This window comes from Homo sapiens, chromosome 15, assembly GCF_000001405.40.
Source record: "Homo sapiens chromosome 15, GRCh38.p14 Primary Assembly".
Lineage (NCBI taxonomy): Eukaryota > Metazoa > Chordata > Mammalia > Primates > Hominidae > Homo > Homo sapiens.
Genome location: NC_000015.10, coordinates 29,309,092 through 29,325,568, shown reverse-complemented (window position 1 = coordinate 29,325,568; position 16,477 = coordinate 29,309,092). Strand labels below are relative to the sequence as shown.

The 16,477-nt window shown below is 39.8% G+C and overlaps 1 protein-coding gene across 7 annotated transcripts in view, besides 1 other annotated feature; it reads left to right on the top strand.

The window, feature by feature from the left end:
- The window catches only part of ENTREP2 (endosomal transmembrane epsin interactor 2), a 557,698-nt gene that overhangs the window by 349,841 nt on the left and 191,380 nt on the right, over positions 1 to 16,477 (top strand). The gene's annotated exons all lie outside the window — the stretch shown is intronic.
- Positions 5,294 to 5,848: an enhancer, noted in NCBI's record as "OCT4-NANOG hESC enhancer chr15:29611925-29612479 (GRCh37/hg19 assembly coordinates)". NCBI's record gives its function as "activates a minimal SCP1, AML or CMV promoter by ChIP-STARR-seq in primed H9 embryonic stem cells {active_cell/tissue: H9 hESC(primed)}" and the evidence as "EXISTENCE:reporter gene assay evidence [ECO:0000049][PMID:30033119]".

Here is a 16,477-nt window from a genome sequence, read left to right as displayed (position 1 = left end):
TCAGACGATCTAGTTCTCCTTGTATGAGTTTTGGTCATTTGTATGTTTCAAGGAATTAGTCCTTTTTCTAATTTGTCAAATTTAGAGGTATAGAGTTCCTTTGTTATCATTTTAATGTCCATGGATTAATATTGGTAATCCCTTAATTTATTTCTGATATTAATAATTTGTGTATCCTTTTTTCTGAGTCTAATTTTCTCTATTATTTTTCAATTTTCTATTCAGATTTCTGCCTTAATTTTTAGTATTTTCTTTCTTCTGTTTGCTTTATGCTTGGATTGCTCTTCTCTCTCTAGTTTCCTAAGGTACACGCTTATATTATTGGTTATAAACGTTTCTTCTTTTCTGTTATAGGCATTTAGTGCTGCAAATTCTCCTTGAGTATGGCTTTTGCTATACACAATAGTGATAAGTTGTATTTTCATTTTCATTTAGTTCAAAGTATATTTTCATTTCACTTGAGACTTCTTTCAACCATATGCTATTTAGAAATGTGTTTTAAAATCTCCAAGTATTTGGGAATTTCCATCTTTTTCTGTTAGTGATTTCTAGTTTCATTCTACTGTGGTCTAAGAGCATACTTTGTATGATTTCAGTTCTTTTAAATTTGTCTACGTGTGTTCTCTGGCCAAGAATGTGGTCAGTCTTGGTGAATGTTCCCTGTGAGCTTGAGAAGAATGTGTATTCTGCTGTTGTTGGATGTAGTCTATAGATGTTGATGATGTATCAATTACTAAGAAGAAAATGTTGAAGTCTTCAACTATAATAGTACATTTGTCCATTTTTCCTTTCAGTTCTGTCAGTTTTTGCCTCATGTATTTTGACGCTCTGTTTTTAGGTGCATACATGTTAAGGATTGTTATGTCTTCTTGGAAACTGACCTTTATATCACTATGGATGCTCGTATTGACCTCTGATAATTTCCCTTGTCCTAAAGTCTGCTTTCTCTGAAACTAATATTGGTACTCCAACTTCCTTTTGATTAGCATAGCACACTATAACTTTCTTCATCCCTTCACTTCTAATCTGAGTCTTTATATATAAAGTGGATTTTTTGTAGACTACATATAGTTGGCTTTTTATTTTATCTACTCTGATAGTTTCTGTCTTTTAATTGGGATATTTAGGTTATTTACTTTAAAGTGATTATTGCACAGTTGGATTGATGTAGTTAAAAATATCTACATGGTTGGGCACAGTGGCTCATGCCTGTAATCCTAGCACTTTGGGAGGCCAAGGTAGGCCAATTGCTTGATCCCAAGAGTTCAAGACCAGGCTCTAAAAAATAATAATAATAAAAATAAAAAAATAGCTAGATGTGTGCCTGTAGTCTCAGCTACTCAGGAGGCTAAGATGGGAAGGTCACTTGAGCTCAGGAAGGTTGGGGCTGCAGTGAACAATGATCGTGCCACTGCACTCTAGCCTGGGCCACAGAATGAGACCCTGTATTAAAAAAAAAAAATTCTACTATGTTTGTAACATTTTTTGTTGTTGTTCACTTCTTTCCCTTTTTTTCCCTGCCCTTTCTGGTTTGAATAGAGCATTTTTAATGAATCCATTTTATCTCCTCTTTTAGCATATCAATTACACTTCTTTTACAAATTATTTTAGTGGTTGCCCTAGAGTTTTCACTCTACATTTTCAACTACTCTATATTCACTCTCAAATAACACAATACTGGTTCATATCTAGAATAGGTACTGTTTGGGAAAAAATTTCTCAAACTGTGTTTTTCCTCTGCTCTCACAGCACAACGATAATCAACACAGAACCTTCTGTGACCTAAATTGTGGGGGTTTTCCCCACACAGCAGGGAGTGGCCACCAGATGCTTATTCTCTAATTTAATTTTAACATCTTCTACTTGGAAATAACCTCAGACCTCACTGGTGCAGAGCCTGGAACCCATGGCTGCCCCCTCTCCCAACACTAGTCCTAAGTCCAGGCCTCTAGGACTTCTGACCAATCAGCTTTCATTTGGGGTTCCCACAGCCTTCTCTTTGGGTTTGATTAATTTGCTGGAGCAGCTCACAGAACTCAGGGAAACACTTAACATTTACTGGTTTGTTATAAAGGATATTAGAAAGGACACCGATGAGGAGATGTATAGGGTAAGATAGGAGGAAGGTGTACTTGGGTTCCATGCCCACTTCAGGACGCCACCCTCCAGGAACCTCCGTGTGTTCAGCTATCAGGAAGCTCTCTGAACCCGGTCCTCTTGGGTTTTTATCGAGGCTTCATTGTGTAGGCATGATTGATTAAACCACTGGCTATTGGTGATCAACTTAGCCTTCAGGCCCTCTCCACTCCCTGGGGTTGGGGGATTGGGCTGAAAGTCCCAACCCTCTAATCCTGCCTCTGTCTTTCCAGTGAGCAACCCCATCCTGAAGCTGTCAGTTAACATTAGCATCATTAGCAAAAGGACTTTGGGGATTCCAAGGATTTTAGGAATTGTTTGCCAAAAAAAGAGGTCAAGACCAAATATTTCACAGTATCACAGGTACCTTATAAATGAGTATTCTCTGTTTCCTTCTTCCATTTCTTATGACATTGCTATCATTCATTGCATTTATCCATATGCTATAATCACTCAATAGATGTTGACTATTATTACCGTAAACCGAAAGGTATCTGAGACAGGTCTCAAGCAATTTAGAGGTTTATTTAACCAAGGTTAAGGATGCATCCGGGAAAAAGGAACACAAAACCACAGGAACAATCTGTGATCTTACTTTTTCCCAAGAGGATTTTGAGGTCTTCAGTATTTAAAGGGGAAAAGTGGGCAGGAAGGGAAGGAGGGTGGGTGTGGTCACATCACTGAATCCACGTGTTGCACGTGAAAAGGAGGAGACATAGAAATAATCGATTATATATTCATCTAGTGCTCAGCAAGTCGACACTTTACACAAGATAAAGTAAACACAGAGCAGCACTCGTGGAGACAGCTGGCCTCTGTCTGGCCTTTTATCTTTAGCTGTCTGCTGGGCAACAAAAGGAAAGGCAGCTTCTTGTGTGACTCAGCTTCCAACTTAATTTTTCCCTTTGCCATAGTGAATTAGGGTCCCGGGATTTATTTTTCTTTCATATTACTTTAAGCAAACAGTTATCTTTTAGATCAATTAAGAATAAGAAAATATATGAGTGGTTGAGGAGATGTTGGTCAGGGGATAAAAAATTTATCTTAGATAAAAGGGATAAGTTCAGGAGATCTACTGCACAATGTGGTGACTATAGGTAATAACAATGTAGTGTATTCTTGAAAATTGCCAATAGAATATATTTTAAGTGTTCTTAACACAAAAAATAAGTATGTGAGGCAGTGCATGTGTTAATTAGCTCAGTTTAACCCCTCAACAATGTATGCGTATTTCAAAACAACATGATGTGCATAATACATATATATAAGTTTGTCAATTAAAAAATAAGTTTATATTCAAATTTTTAAAAAAATAAGAAAAATAAGACTTTATTTTACCTTCATTTATTCCTTCTTCAAAGCTCTTTTCTTTCCTTGTGTAGATCTGAGTTTCTGACCTATTTCATTTTCCTTTCTTCAAAGAACTCCTTTTTTTTAAATTTAAATTTTAATTTTTAGTTCTGGGGTACATGTGCAGGATGTGCAGGTTGGTTACATGGGTAAACGTGTGCCATAGTGGTTTGCTGCACCTATCAATCCATCACCTAGGTATTAAGCCCAGCATTCATTAGTGATGTTTCCTAATGCTCTCCCTCCCCGCCCACTCCCCCAAACAGGCCCCAGTGTGTGTTGTTCCCCTCCCTGTGTCCATATGTTCTCATTGCAAAGAACTACTTTTAACATTTTTTGCAGGTCACTTTGCTGGTGACACATTTCCTGCATTTTCCTTTCTCCGAAAAAGTCTTTATTTCTTTTTCACTTTTTTTTTTCTTTTTTTTTTTTTGAGACAGAGTCTCACTCTTGTCACCCAGGCTGGAGTACAGTGGCATCATCTCAGCTCACTGCAACCTCCACCTCCTGGGTTCAAGCAATTCTCCTGCCTCAGCCTCCCGAGTACCTGGGATTATAGGTGCCCGCCACCATGCCCAGCTAATTTTTTTGTTTGTTTGTTGAGATGGGATTCCACCATCTTGGCCAGGCTGGTCTCGAACTCCTGACCTTGTGATCCACCCGCCTTGGCCTCCCAAAGTGCTGGGATTACAGGCATGAGCCACCGCGCCCAGCCTCTTTTTCACTTTTATGGGATAATTTTGCTGGATATACATGTCTAGGTTGGTGGGATTTCTTCTTTCATCACTTTAAATACTCCACGCTCTTCATGCTTGCCTTTTGATGATAAATCGACTGTAATTCTTATATTTGTTCATCTATGGTAAGGTGTTATTTTTTTCTCTGGTTTCTTTCTAGATCTTCTCTTGGACTTTGGCTTTCTGCACTTTGAATGAGATGCCTCAGCGTAGAGTTTTTGATAGTTATCCTGTTTGGGTTCTCCAAGCTTCTTTGATCTCTGGTTTGGGGTCTGTTTGGAAAGCTATCAGCTTATTTTATTAAATAAAATAAATGTAATTTAATTTATCATTATTAAATTACATTTGGAAAGTTTATCAGTTTATATTACTTTAGATGTGTCATCTATTCCATTCTCTTTTTGCCTTTTAATATTCCTGTTATACATATATTACACTTTCTGAAATTATACAACTGTTCTTGAGTGTTTTATGGTGGTTATTTTATTTTTATTTTTTCTCATTCTTTCTTGCACTTTAGTTTGGGACATTTGTGTTGACCTATCTTCAAGCTCACTGTTTCTTTCCTCAGCTGTGTCTGGTCTACTTATGAGCCCATCAAAGGCAATTTTCATTTCTGTTACAGTGTTTTTGATTTCTAGCATTTTCTTTGATTTTTTCTCAGACGTTCCATCTCTGCTTATACCACCCATCTGTTCTTGCATATTTGTCCATTTTTCCCATTGCAGCCCTTAGCATATTCATCACAGTGGTTTTAAATACCCCATTTAGTCCTTCCAAATTCTCTGCTGTGTCTCAGTCTGGTTCTGTTGCTTGCTCTGTCTCCTCAGACTTTTTTCCTTGCCTTTTACCATGCCTTCTAATTTTTTGCTGAAAACCAAATATAGTGTATCAGATAATAAGAATTAAAGGAAACAGGCCTTACCTGTGAGGTTTTATATTAATATGGCTGTTATTAGGCTCTTAATATTTGCTGTAGCTGTAGGTGCCAGAGGGTTCAAATTCACCTATTTCTCTTGTTTTTGTCCTTTTCTTGTCTTTGGATTTCCCTAAGAATGCTTTCTTGTGTCTAGCAGCTCCTTCAACTGTAATTTGTGGTAGTTATACTGCAGCCCTGTTGCTGTGGTGGGAAGGTGTGTGTGTGGTGTGTTTTACTCTGATGATGAAATTTCAGTCTTTTAGTGGGCCTGTATCTCTGGGCTATCACCTTAACAAGCGTTTCTAGCCTTTTATTCCTGCCTTAGGTGAGACAGGAAGGCTGCACGGGCATGGGGTCAGGAAAACGCCTTCCCCCAGATGGAATACTGTGTTGGAGAGCAGGCCTTTGTTATGGAGAAGGTTCTGTTCATTTGTCACTAGGACTAGCCTTTCCCTCCCCTGCTACAGCCATCAGGGCTCTTAACCCTGAGAATCTGGTGATGTTCTCAGAGGCAAAACACACAAAAGTGTAGGGTGTCCCCCTAAAACTGCAGCCCCAGCAGTCTCACTTGGAGGCTGGTCCACCCTCAGCCTCCAGCAATTTGTCAGAATTAACGTTTGGAGGCTCCAACTGGGGGCTGGCCCAGCAGCATCTCTAGGTGAGCAGATCTCAGCCGGGACCCTGTGCATTCCCATCTCTTCAGATTTCCCAGTGGCAGTTTGTTCTGCAACCTCAGCTCTCTGAGGGGTCCAAGAAAGGTTGCTGAGTTTCTGTTTGTTCAGCTTTTTTCTTATCATAAGGATGGGAGTGACAACTCCAAGCTTTTTACGTGTTGGAACTGAAACTGGATGTCCTTGTTTGGCTTTTTAAAGATAAATTTGTTATTCCAGATGAATTTCTCACCCAGTGGTTTATGTGTCAGAAATCTGGGCATCTCCGCTTCCCTAGTCCAGGGGCACAGATGCTCTGCCATTGGACTGATGGCAGCAGTGAATTTCAATAGGGAATTAGATGGCACTTGAACAACCCAGGACCTCTGTTCACTCAGCCTGCATTGACTTGTGCTACTTCAGAGGAAACTGGGGCTGTCTGAGCTTCTTGTTCCAAAAGAATGGTCAGTGCTTTAAAGCAGGGGTCTGGCTTGCACTTTCTCTTTCTCTCCACTGGTCTCTAATGTGAAAACCCAAGAGTTTATAGAACATGGAAGCCTTCAGATTTCCGTTCATCTGAAGTGAAGTAAGAAGTGGCCTGCCATTAACTATTTCTCGTGTCTTCAGTACCCATGGCGGTTGTGAGGGTCTCCCTGGCACTTCCTCTCAGGGCTCTGCCTTGGTTTGAGTATGCAGTGCAGATGGCAAAATGAGATGTTCTTACTTTTCATAGCTTTGTTTTGAATAGAGTAGGTACTTTAGGTGGTATACAGTTAATCGTTGCTTTTAATTTTACATATGACTGTAAACAAATTGGCTTCTCTTTGGTAACAGTTTTGTAGAGGAAATGGCTATGTGATGGTAGATGTTCCTGGAGAAAGGGAGCATTCAGTTTGCAGAAACTGGTTTCTACCTAATCTTTGCCAGTTTGGGTTCATCTTTTGCACTAAGCCAACCAATAGGAAAATGTATAAGCCTACCTTGGAGAGCTTGTGGGTTCTGTTGCAGACTATTGCAATAAGACGGTTATCACAATAAAGCAAGTCACACACATCCTTTGGTTTCCCAGAGCATATCAAAGTTACGATTACACTAAGCTGTAGTCTAGTAGGTGTGCAGTAGCATTGTATCTTTAAAAAGTGTACATACCTTAATTTGGCCGGGCGTGGTGGCTCACACCCTTAATCTCAGCACTTTGGGAGGCCGAGGTGGGCGGATCACGAGGTCAGGAGATCGAGACCATCCTGGCTAACACGGTGAAACCCCGTCTCTACTAAAAATACAAAAAATTAGCCAGGTGTGCTGGCAGGCGCCTGTAGTCCCAGCTACTCGGGAGGCTGAGGCAGGAGAATGGCGTGAACCCAGGAGGCGGAGCTTGCAGTGAGCTGAGATCGCGACACTGCACTCCAGCCTGGGTGACTGAGCAAAACTCCGTCTCAAAAAACAAAAAACAAAAAAAAAAGTGTACATACCTTAATTTAAAAATACTTCATTGCTAAAATATACCGACAGAGAGACATGAAGTGAGCACACGCTGTGAGAAAAATGATGCTGATAGACTTGCACCTTGCAGGGTTGCCACAAACCTTCAATTTATCAACAACGCAGTATCTGTGCAGTGCAATGCAACGAAGTGCAATAAAACACGGCCTGCCTGCAATTACTCCTTCAAGTTTGTTGCTGGGAATTTTCCATCAACATATGAAGAGCTCTCTGGAAACGCGGAAAATTTACACCTCTAATCAGGAGTGTTTTGTTGCCTGTGAGAGCCATGTTTCGGTGGACATTCAGAAACACTGTCATGAGGTTTCAAAATCATCGACATTGCCACCGTGCAAAAGCCACACCCTCATCTCACCTTGAGAGCTAGCCAGAGTGGGCGCTAGTCTGTTCATCTCACCACAGCCTCCCGCCTCCTTCTGTGGGTCAGTGCTGAGAATTCTTCTCTTCATCCCACCCGGGTCGGATGAAGGCCTCTGGATCTTGCTGCTGTGACAGTTTTTGCCTCTTTGAGGTGGGTTGGCCTCAACAGCCATAAGTTCAATTCTGCATGAGCCTGTAGCAGCACTTTTTGCTTTAGGGCCATTCCCCATGTTTTCTAGATTAATATAGAAACATTATTGGAGTGATATTATATTGAATTTTTCTATGCTATGTCTAATGCACTCAAGCATTTTAATAAGCCAGCAGTTATGATAATTTTAATGGGAGATTCGTGTTCCGTTTTGCATATGTGATGAACTTGAATTTGATTGAGTCTTTGAATGCAACTCTCGAGAGTATAAAGATCTAGTTCTTTAATGCTTTGAGGTCTGTTCCTGACTATTTTGATTCAAATATTTCTTCATTTTAAAATTATTCTATTTACCAGGACATTTGAAAGGGAACAATGTTTTGCCTGTAGCTTTCTAATTGACCTAATCTGATTACTGTGTGTTTTTTATGAAACAGTAGGCAGAATATGTCAGCAAAGTTTTAGGTACAGCAGGCTTAGCAACTGCGGTCCCACAAATTAAATGTTATTTATGGTAATAGTTATATGTAGTTTTATGGGTGTTACTCAGAATAACATCATTGTATCTGGTATTTGAATTGGGCACTAATTGAGGAATACATTTGGGCATAAATTTAGTTCTATTCTAGTATTGCTATTTTGTGTAATTATAAAACCAAAAGGCTTCATTCTTTATTTCCTCTTTAAAACTCCATGTGAAATCTTACTTTGATGTGATGTTTAGGAAAATATTTTTAGTAATTTGGCATAGTTAAATTCATACCAAAATAAAAAATAACTGGCCTTTGTTTAGTTCTGCTATATGACAGGCTTTGTAATATGTAATAAAACAAATTTGTAATATTTGTTTCCCCCAGTGATTTTAAGTGACCTCTTTATCATATACTAATTTGTCTTGTAACTTAGGTTTATGTGTCTTCTTTTTAAAAGGAAGGAATTCAGGTTCCCAAAACATAGGAAATTTTTACAAACTGGCTGTGTGACTAAGTAGCAGAGTTATTATCTGAACCCATATTTTCATATTTTTCGACATTTACATTGTGGATATCTCAACTATATACACAAGTAAAGAGAATGACATATTGAACCCTATGCATCCATTACTCAGCTATAGCTGCCAGCCACTCCTGGACATTCTTGCGTCATCAGTACCCCACCACTTCTCCCTTGGATGAAGAAAGCAAGCCTGAGACATCACATTATTTTGTGTCAAAATACATACATGCCTACCTCTAAAAGAGAAGGTGGCCCTTATTTTTTATTTTTAAAATGATATAGTCACAATGCCGTGATCACAACTAATAGATACCAATAATTTGGTTTATCATCAAATACCTCATGTTCAAATTTCTGTGTGCCTGTTTCTCTCTTTTTGCATTGGGTTGTTAGGTCTCTTAAGTCTCTCTGTCTCTCTTCTTTATTTTCCCTTGCTGGCCCCAGTGAGCAGAGGCCACCAGAGCTCCCATGTCTCTTGATTATCCTTCAGGAAATAAACCACTTGAGATATACAATTAAATGGTGATATGTTACAGTCAGTTTAAACCGCTCTCTGTGGTTAAGGCACCTGCCCGTTTTACTGGTTCACTTATTTCATTTTGCTTTTGATTTTAGGGATTTTAATTAATTTTTGATTTAATTTTGTTTCATAATTATATAAGACATTTACTGTTACAAAGTCAAATCTATGCAGTAAAGTGTTTTCCCCTGAAAATTCTAGTTATCATTTCTGTCCTGTTTGTATTCCTTGTCTCCCCACCCCCCGGCCCTATAGTAACTACTCTTAGATTTTCGCTTTGTCCTTTCATTTCTAAATTATAAGCAAGCACATGTGCTGTACACATACTGCATGTACGTGTGCCTACCTTGCACATTGTTCCAGCCTTTGGTTTTATAACTTAGTGATATCGCGTGGGGTCAGTCTGTAGCAGTGTATAAAGACATTTCTTATTCCTGTTTACTGCATAATGCGGTTTATCATTTGTCTTTCATTTGTCTTTTTTATTTGCTTCTGGTAGTATTCATATGTAAAGATTTGTATTTTATGTAGTTAAGTTCATCAGTTTTTCCCTTATTACTTTGGACTGTGAGTTATAGGAAATATTTCTCAACTTTCCGGTTAGAGAGGAATTCCATGTTTTTTTCTAATACTTAAAGTGGGGTCTCTCTGTCTCCATTTAAGTTTCTAATCTATTTGGAATCAGTTCTGATATAACTGGTGAGAAACAGATGTGTATTTTTCTTTTTCCATATGGCCATCCCATCTGGATTTATCAGTACTACTTATGAAAAGTGTATGTTTCCCTCAATTATTTTAAATGACCCCTTTGTCATATACTAAATTACCATAGACAAATGTGTTTGTTTCTGGATATTTCCGTTTTATTTTATTGGTCTGTCAATTCATCGGCCAAGAGGGGGGCTTTAAATACATTTTAATATCTGGAAGGGCTAGCCTTCCTTATTGATCTTTTATGGAGTTTCCTTTGTGATTCTTGCTTAGTTGTTCTTCCAAGAACTATATAATCAGTTTGCCTAGCTTCTAGGAGACAATGATGATTTTTTTTAATCAATATGGCATTAAATTTATAGATTAACTTTAGGAGAATTAACATCTCTTTGCTGTTGTATCTTCTTATCCAAGAATATATTTCTTTCCATTTATTCAAAATACTCTTTACTTTCACAAGCATGTCACCATTTTCTTTCTTTTTTGAGACAAAGTCTCGCTCTGTCACCAGGCTGGAGTGCAGTGGCACGATCTCGGCTCACTGCAACCTCCGCCTGCCAGGCTCAAACAATTCTCCTGCCTCAGCCTCCCAAGTAGCTGGGACTACAGGTGTGCACCACCACACCTGGCTAATTTTTGTATTTTTGGTAGAGGCGGGGTTTCACCATGTTGCCCAGGATCGTCTCAAACTCCTGAGCTCAAGCGATCCACCCGCCTCGGCCTCCCAAAGTGCTGGGATTACAGACATTAGCCACTGCACCTGGCCTTCTATTACATTTTCTAACTGTTTATCTATGTTATGGATAAACATTATTGATTTTTGTATACAGACATAATTCAGAGATATTGCAGGTTTAGTTCCAGACCAGTGCAATAAAGCGAATATCACAATAAAGCAAGTCACCAATTTTTTAGTTTCCCAGTACATATAAAACTATGATTACATTATACTGTTGCCTATTAAGTGTGCCACAGCATATGTCTAAAAAAATTATACATATACCTTGATTAAAAATACTTTATTGCTCAAAAATGCTAACAGTCATCTGAGCCTTCAGCAAGTTGTCATCTGTTTGCTGGTGGAGGGTCTTGCCTAGATGCTGATGGCTGCTGACTAATTGGTGGTGGTTGCTGAAGGTTGGGGTGGCTGTGGCAATTTCTGAAAATAAGACAGTGATGAAGTTTGCTGCATTGATTGGCTCTTCCTTTTACAAAAGATTTGTCCGTAGCATGCAATGCTGTTTGATAGCGTTTTACCCACAGTAGAGCTTTTTTCAAAATTTGAGTCAGTCCTCTAACCCTGCTGCTGCTTTATGAACTAAGTTTATATCATATTCTAAACCCTTTGTTGTCATTTCAATAATGTCTGCAGTATCTTCACCAAGAGTAGATTCCATCTCAAGAAACAACTTTCTTTGCTCATCCATAAGAAGCAGCTGCTTGTCCATTAAAGTTTTCTCATGAGATTGCAACAATTTAGCCACATCTTTAGGCTCCACTTCTAATTCTAATTCTCCTGCTGTTCCTACCACATCTGTGATTACTTCCTCCACGGAAATTTTGAAAACCTCAAGGTCACCTGTGAGGATTGGAATCAACTTCTTCCAAACTCCTGTTAATGTAGCTATTTTGACCTCCTCCCATGAATCACAAATGTTCTTAATGGCACCTAGAATGGTGAATCCTTTCCAGAAGGTTGTCAATTTACTCCACCCAGATTTATTACAGGATCACTATGTATGGCATCTCTAGCTTTGTGAAATGCATTTCTTAAATAATAAGACTTGAAAGTGAGTTACTCCCTGACCCGTGGGCTGCAGAGTAGATGTATTGGCTGGCAGAAAAATGACATTAACCTTCTTGTACATCTCCATCAGGGCTCTTAGGTGTATTGTCAATAAACAGTAATACTTTGAAAGGCATATTTTTTTTCTGAGCGTTAGGTCTCAATAGTGGGCTTGAAATATTAAGTAAACCATGCTTTAAACAGATATGTTGTCATCCAGGCTTTGTTGGGCTAGTTCTAGTGCACAGGTGAAATAGATTTAGCATAATTCTTAAGGGCCATGGGACTTTCAGAATGGTTGAGTATTGGCTTCAACTTTAAGTGACCAGCTGCATTAGCTCCTAGCAAGAGAGTCAGTCTGTCCTTTGAAGCTTTGAAGCCAGGCGTCATCTTTCCCTCTTTAGCTATGAAAGTCCTAGATGGCATCTTCTTCCAGTATAAGGCTGTTTTGTCTACACTGAAAATCTGTTGTTTCATGTATCCACCTTCATCAGTTATCTTAGCTGGATCTTCTGGACTTGCAGGTTATCAGCATTTGCTGCCTCAGCTTCTTAAACTTCAGGAACCAACCTCTGTTAGCTTCAAATTCTCATCTGCAGCTTCCTCACCTCTCTCATCCTCATTGAATTGAACTGAAGAGAGTTCGGGCCTTGCTGTGGATCAGATTTTGGCTTAAGGGAATGTTGTGTCTGGTTTGATCTTCTGTTAGACCACTCATAGTTTCTCCAAATCAGCGATAAGGCTGTTTTCTTGATCATTCGTGTGTTCACTGGAGTAGCACTTTTAATTTCCTTCGAGAACTTTTCCTTTGCATTCACAACTTGCTAACTGGTGCAAGAGGCCTAGCTTTTGGCTGCTCTTGTCTTTTAACATGCCTTCCTCACTAAGCTTAATCACTTCTAGCTTTGGATTTAAAATGAGAAACGTGTGACCCTTCCTTTCACTTGAACATTTAGAGACCATTGTAGAGTTATTAATTGGCTTAATTTCAATATTGTTGTGTCTCAGGGAACAGATAGGCAGGGGAACGGCCAGCCTATGAAGCAATCAGAACACATGCATTTCTCAGTTAAGTTCACTGCCTTATATGGGCACAGTTCATGGAGCCCCAAAACAATTATAATAGTATCTTCAAGGGTCACTGATCACAGGCCACTATATCAGATATAGTAATAATGAAAAAGTTTGAAATGTACTGAGAATTACCAAAATATGACTCAGAGACAAAGTAAGCACATGATGTTGGAAAAATGTTGCTCATAGACTTACTCAATATAGGGCTGCCACAAACCTTCAATCCGTAAAAAAACTCAACATCTGTGAAGCATGATAAAGTGAAGAACAATAAAACAAGGTATGCCTATATTTATTATACAACCAGCTTTCTTATTAGATTTTCTTTCTTTTTTTTTTTTGGTGCTTGTTTTGTGGGGATTCTTTTGTTTTTCCACATGTGAGTACATAAACATATGCTCTGCAAATAAAGATAATTTTAACTTCTTCTTTCATGAATGTTATTTCTACAGTTGATTTCTCTTGTCTAAGTACATGGGCTAATACTTCAGACCCAGTGTTAAAGAGTGAGTGCTTGTCTTGTTCCAGACTGTAGCAGGAAAAGTTAGTTTTTCTTTGTTAATTAAGATGCTGGCTTTTGAGGTTAGGTATGTGTTGCATAAATATGTATTTTCTATCTTGTTAGGCATGACTTTATCCTATCCCTCAGTTTCTGTTTTGTTGTTTCTCATAGGAATGAATGCTGATTTTTTCACATACCTTTGGTGCATCTGTAGAGATGATCATATAATTTTTCTCTTTAGCTCTGTTAACAGGATGGACTATATGCTAATGCTGAATCACTCTTGCATTTCTGGAATGAACTGTATTTGGAGTAATGTTTGTCTTCCTGAATCTATAACCTCCATGACTTTATCTGGAAGCTGGGCAAGGTCTTGGCCTAGCTCATAATCCCAGTGCCTACAATATAGTGTGTAATATCTACTTATTGAAAGAATGTTGAGTGGATTTTCTTCCCTTTAAAGATCATACTTTTTTTTGGGGGGGGGATGGAGTCTCACTCGGTCACCCAGGCTGGAGTGCAGTGGCACGATCTCAGCTCACTGCAACCTCTACCACCCAGGTTGTAGCGACTCTCCTGCCTCAGCCTCCTGAGTAGCTGGGATTACAGATGTGCACCACCACACCCTGCTAATTTTTGTATTTTTAGTAGAGACAGGGTTTCGCCATGTTGGCCAGGCTGGGCTGGAACTCCTGATCTCAAGTGATCCGCCCACCTCGCCCTCCCAAAATGTTGGGATTACCCGTGTGAGCCACCATATCTGGCCAAGATTATACTTTTAAAAATAAAAAACAATGCATGTCTCTCATAAATTATTTAAGCAAATACAGAAAAGTACAACAGCAAAGGCAATGAATTACCCAGAAGTATACCATCCAGAAACGATCAGACTGTTATGTGGTCATAAATTCAGAAATCTATCGATCATATAATGATACAAGACACAAGCTATGGAAGAATAATGTGTATGTTTTAAAAAATTGTCTTTGTTTGAAATTAACAGGAGAATTGAAATGAAACTGAAGAGAGAATACTAAATTTTAGATTACAGGTCTCTCATCACAAAGCACATTTGTTTCTAGAGTTAAAAAAAAAAATTCCCAATCTCCTTACGGGTCCTCTTCATTGTAATTTGTCTCTTCCTTCTTCTACAAAATTACTGTGGAGATCTCACACCTTCCCCCATGCCATTATCTTGAATTTTCACTCATGTCTACTCTGTTCCTTGCTGTTTCTAAATTATTTACTAGATTTGCAGTGATGGGGTTTTAATTCTCACGCTGTAATTGGTTTCCTTAGTTCTGTCTCTAGCTTTCTTTTCATCATAGTCTTGTTTTTCTCACTTTGAGTCCTTCCTTTGTTAAGTTTATGTGTGTATTAGGTTCCATGAAGTTCTTGTGGGGAGCTTTGGCGTCTGGGTTGATGTTTCTTTCCCCATTTTCAAGCTCTGTTTCTGCTGACCTTCTGTTTGCCAAATAAGCTGTGGTGTGCTTCCATGCACCTTGATGTACCCACTCTCCTTGTGCTCCTGGGCTTGGCCCGGACAATTCTTCCCTGCCCCGACAGCCTTCAGACCCACCAGGGCCAGTTTCTCTTCTCCTGTCAGAGGCTCCATTTCAGACATGGATGTTGCCTTTGGCCTTGACTGTCTAACTTAGGACAGGGTGGGGAGATCCCCCAGGGGCTGAGCACATCCTTGCTAGGTCTTGGGTTCTTGCTCTTCCCTCTGAGGACCTCCCTAGAGATGTCCCCTTGACCGAGCCAGGGCAGTTCTGCTCCAGTGAGCGTCATCCGTCCCTCAGTCCTGGCCCTTTCTTTCTTGGTTGAGCTCCTGAGTTGCTGCGTAGGAGCTTCTGTTTTAAAGAGATTTTAAAAAATTGTCCTAGAACTACCTGCACCCAACTCAGACCCCATCACCCCAGACTTGAAGGTATTAGTGCGAATTCTCAGCTTCTGTCTGCTCACCTGTGCTCACATAGGTGAGGGCTGGGGAGGACATGGAACCTTCAGGATCTCCTTTTCTCCACTTATTTCTGTCCTGCCCCCCCTTTCTAGTTCATGACAGGACATGATGCCCCTTTCTTCCTGTCTTGATTGCTGCTGGTGACACTCATAAGATGTTTGTCTGGCTCATCTCATGAAGAATCAGGAGAGGGACCTTCAGTCCACGTCACATGGAAGCAGACCCTCGGAGCATGCAGGGTCTACTCCCAGGCCCCGTGTTTCCCTCTGACAGTCTCAGTCCTATGCCCAGGTCAGTGTACACATTTCCTGAGGGCCATGCATGCCAGGCTTCAAGCACAGGCATGACATATGTTATTGTTCAAAATCTCACAGTCGTCCTATGGGATAGGCATTACCACTGAGCACTTTTTTTTTTTTTTTGAGACAGAGTCTTACTCTGTCTCCCAGGCTGGAGTGCAGTGGCATGATCTCAGCTCACTGCAACCTCTGCCTCCCGGGTTCGAGTAATTCTCCTGCATCAGCCTCCCAAGTAGCTGAGATTACAGATGCCAGCACCACACACGACTAATTTTTTGTATTTTTAGTAGAAACGGGGTTTTGCCATGTCGGCCGTGCTGGCCATGCTGGTCTCAAACTCCTGACCTCAAGTGATCCACCTGCCTTGTCCTCCCAAAGTGCTGGAATTACATGCGTGAGCCACCGTGCTTGGCCCACTGAGCACTTTCTATAGAGAAGAAAGCCAGGGTTCAGGGAAGGTCATCAACACACACTTGACTTGGACCCCGGGAGACCTGGTCTAGAGTCTGCTCTTTTAGCATATTGCTGCCTCTGTGGGAAAGCAAGTGAGGTGATTTTGTGTCATGGAAACTAATTACCGCGACAGTGGTAACAATACTACAACATGTGAGTGGGCCTTGGTATTACAGGAACTGAAACTATTTTAAAAGGGATTACTCTGATAGCTATCATTATCACTATACTCAAATTAATGACTTCTTTCTGAGTATATTTTTGTGTTATAATACATTCAATTATAGGGGAGACAGAATTTCACCTCTAATCTCCTAGGGTTTTCAGCTGGGCCTGTGAATTAAATTGACACAAGACAGATTAATAG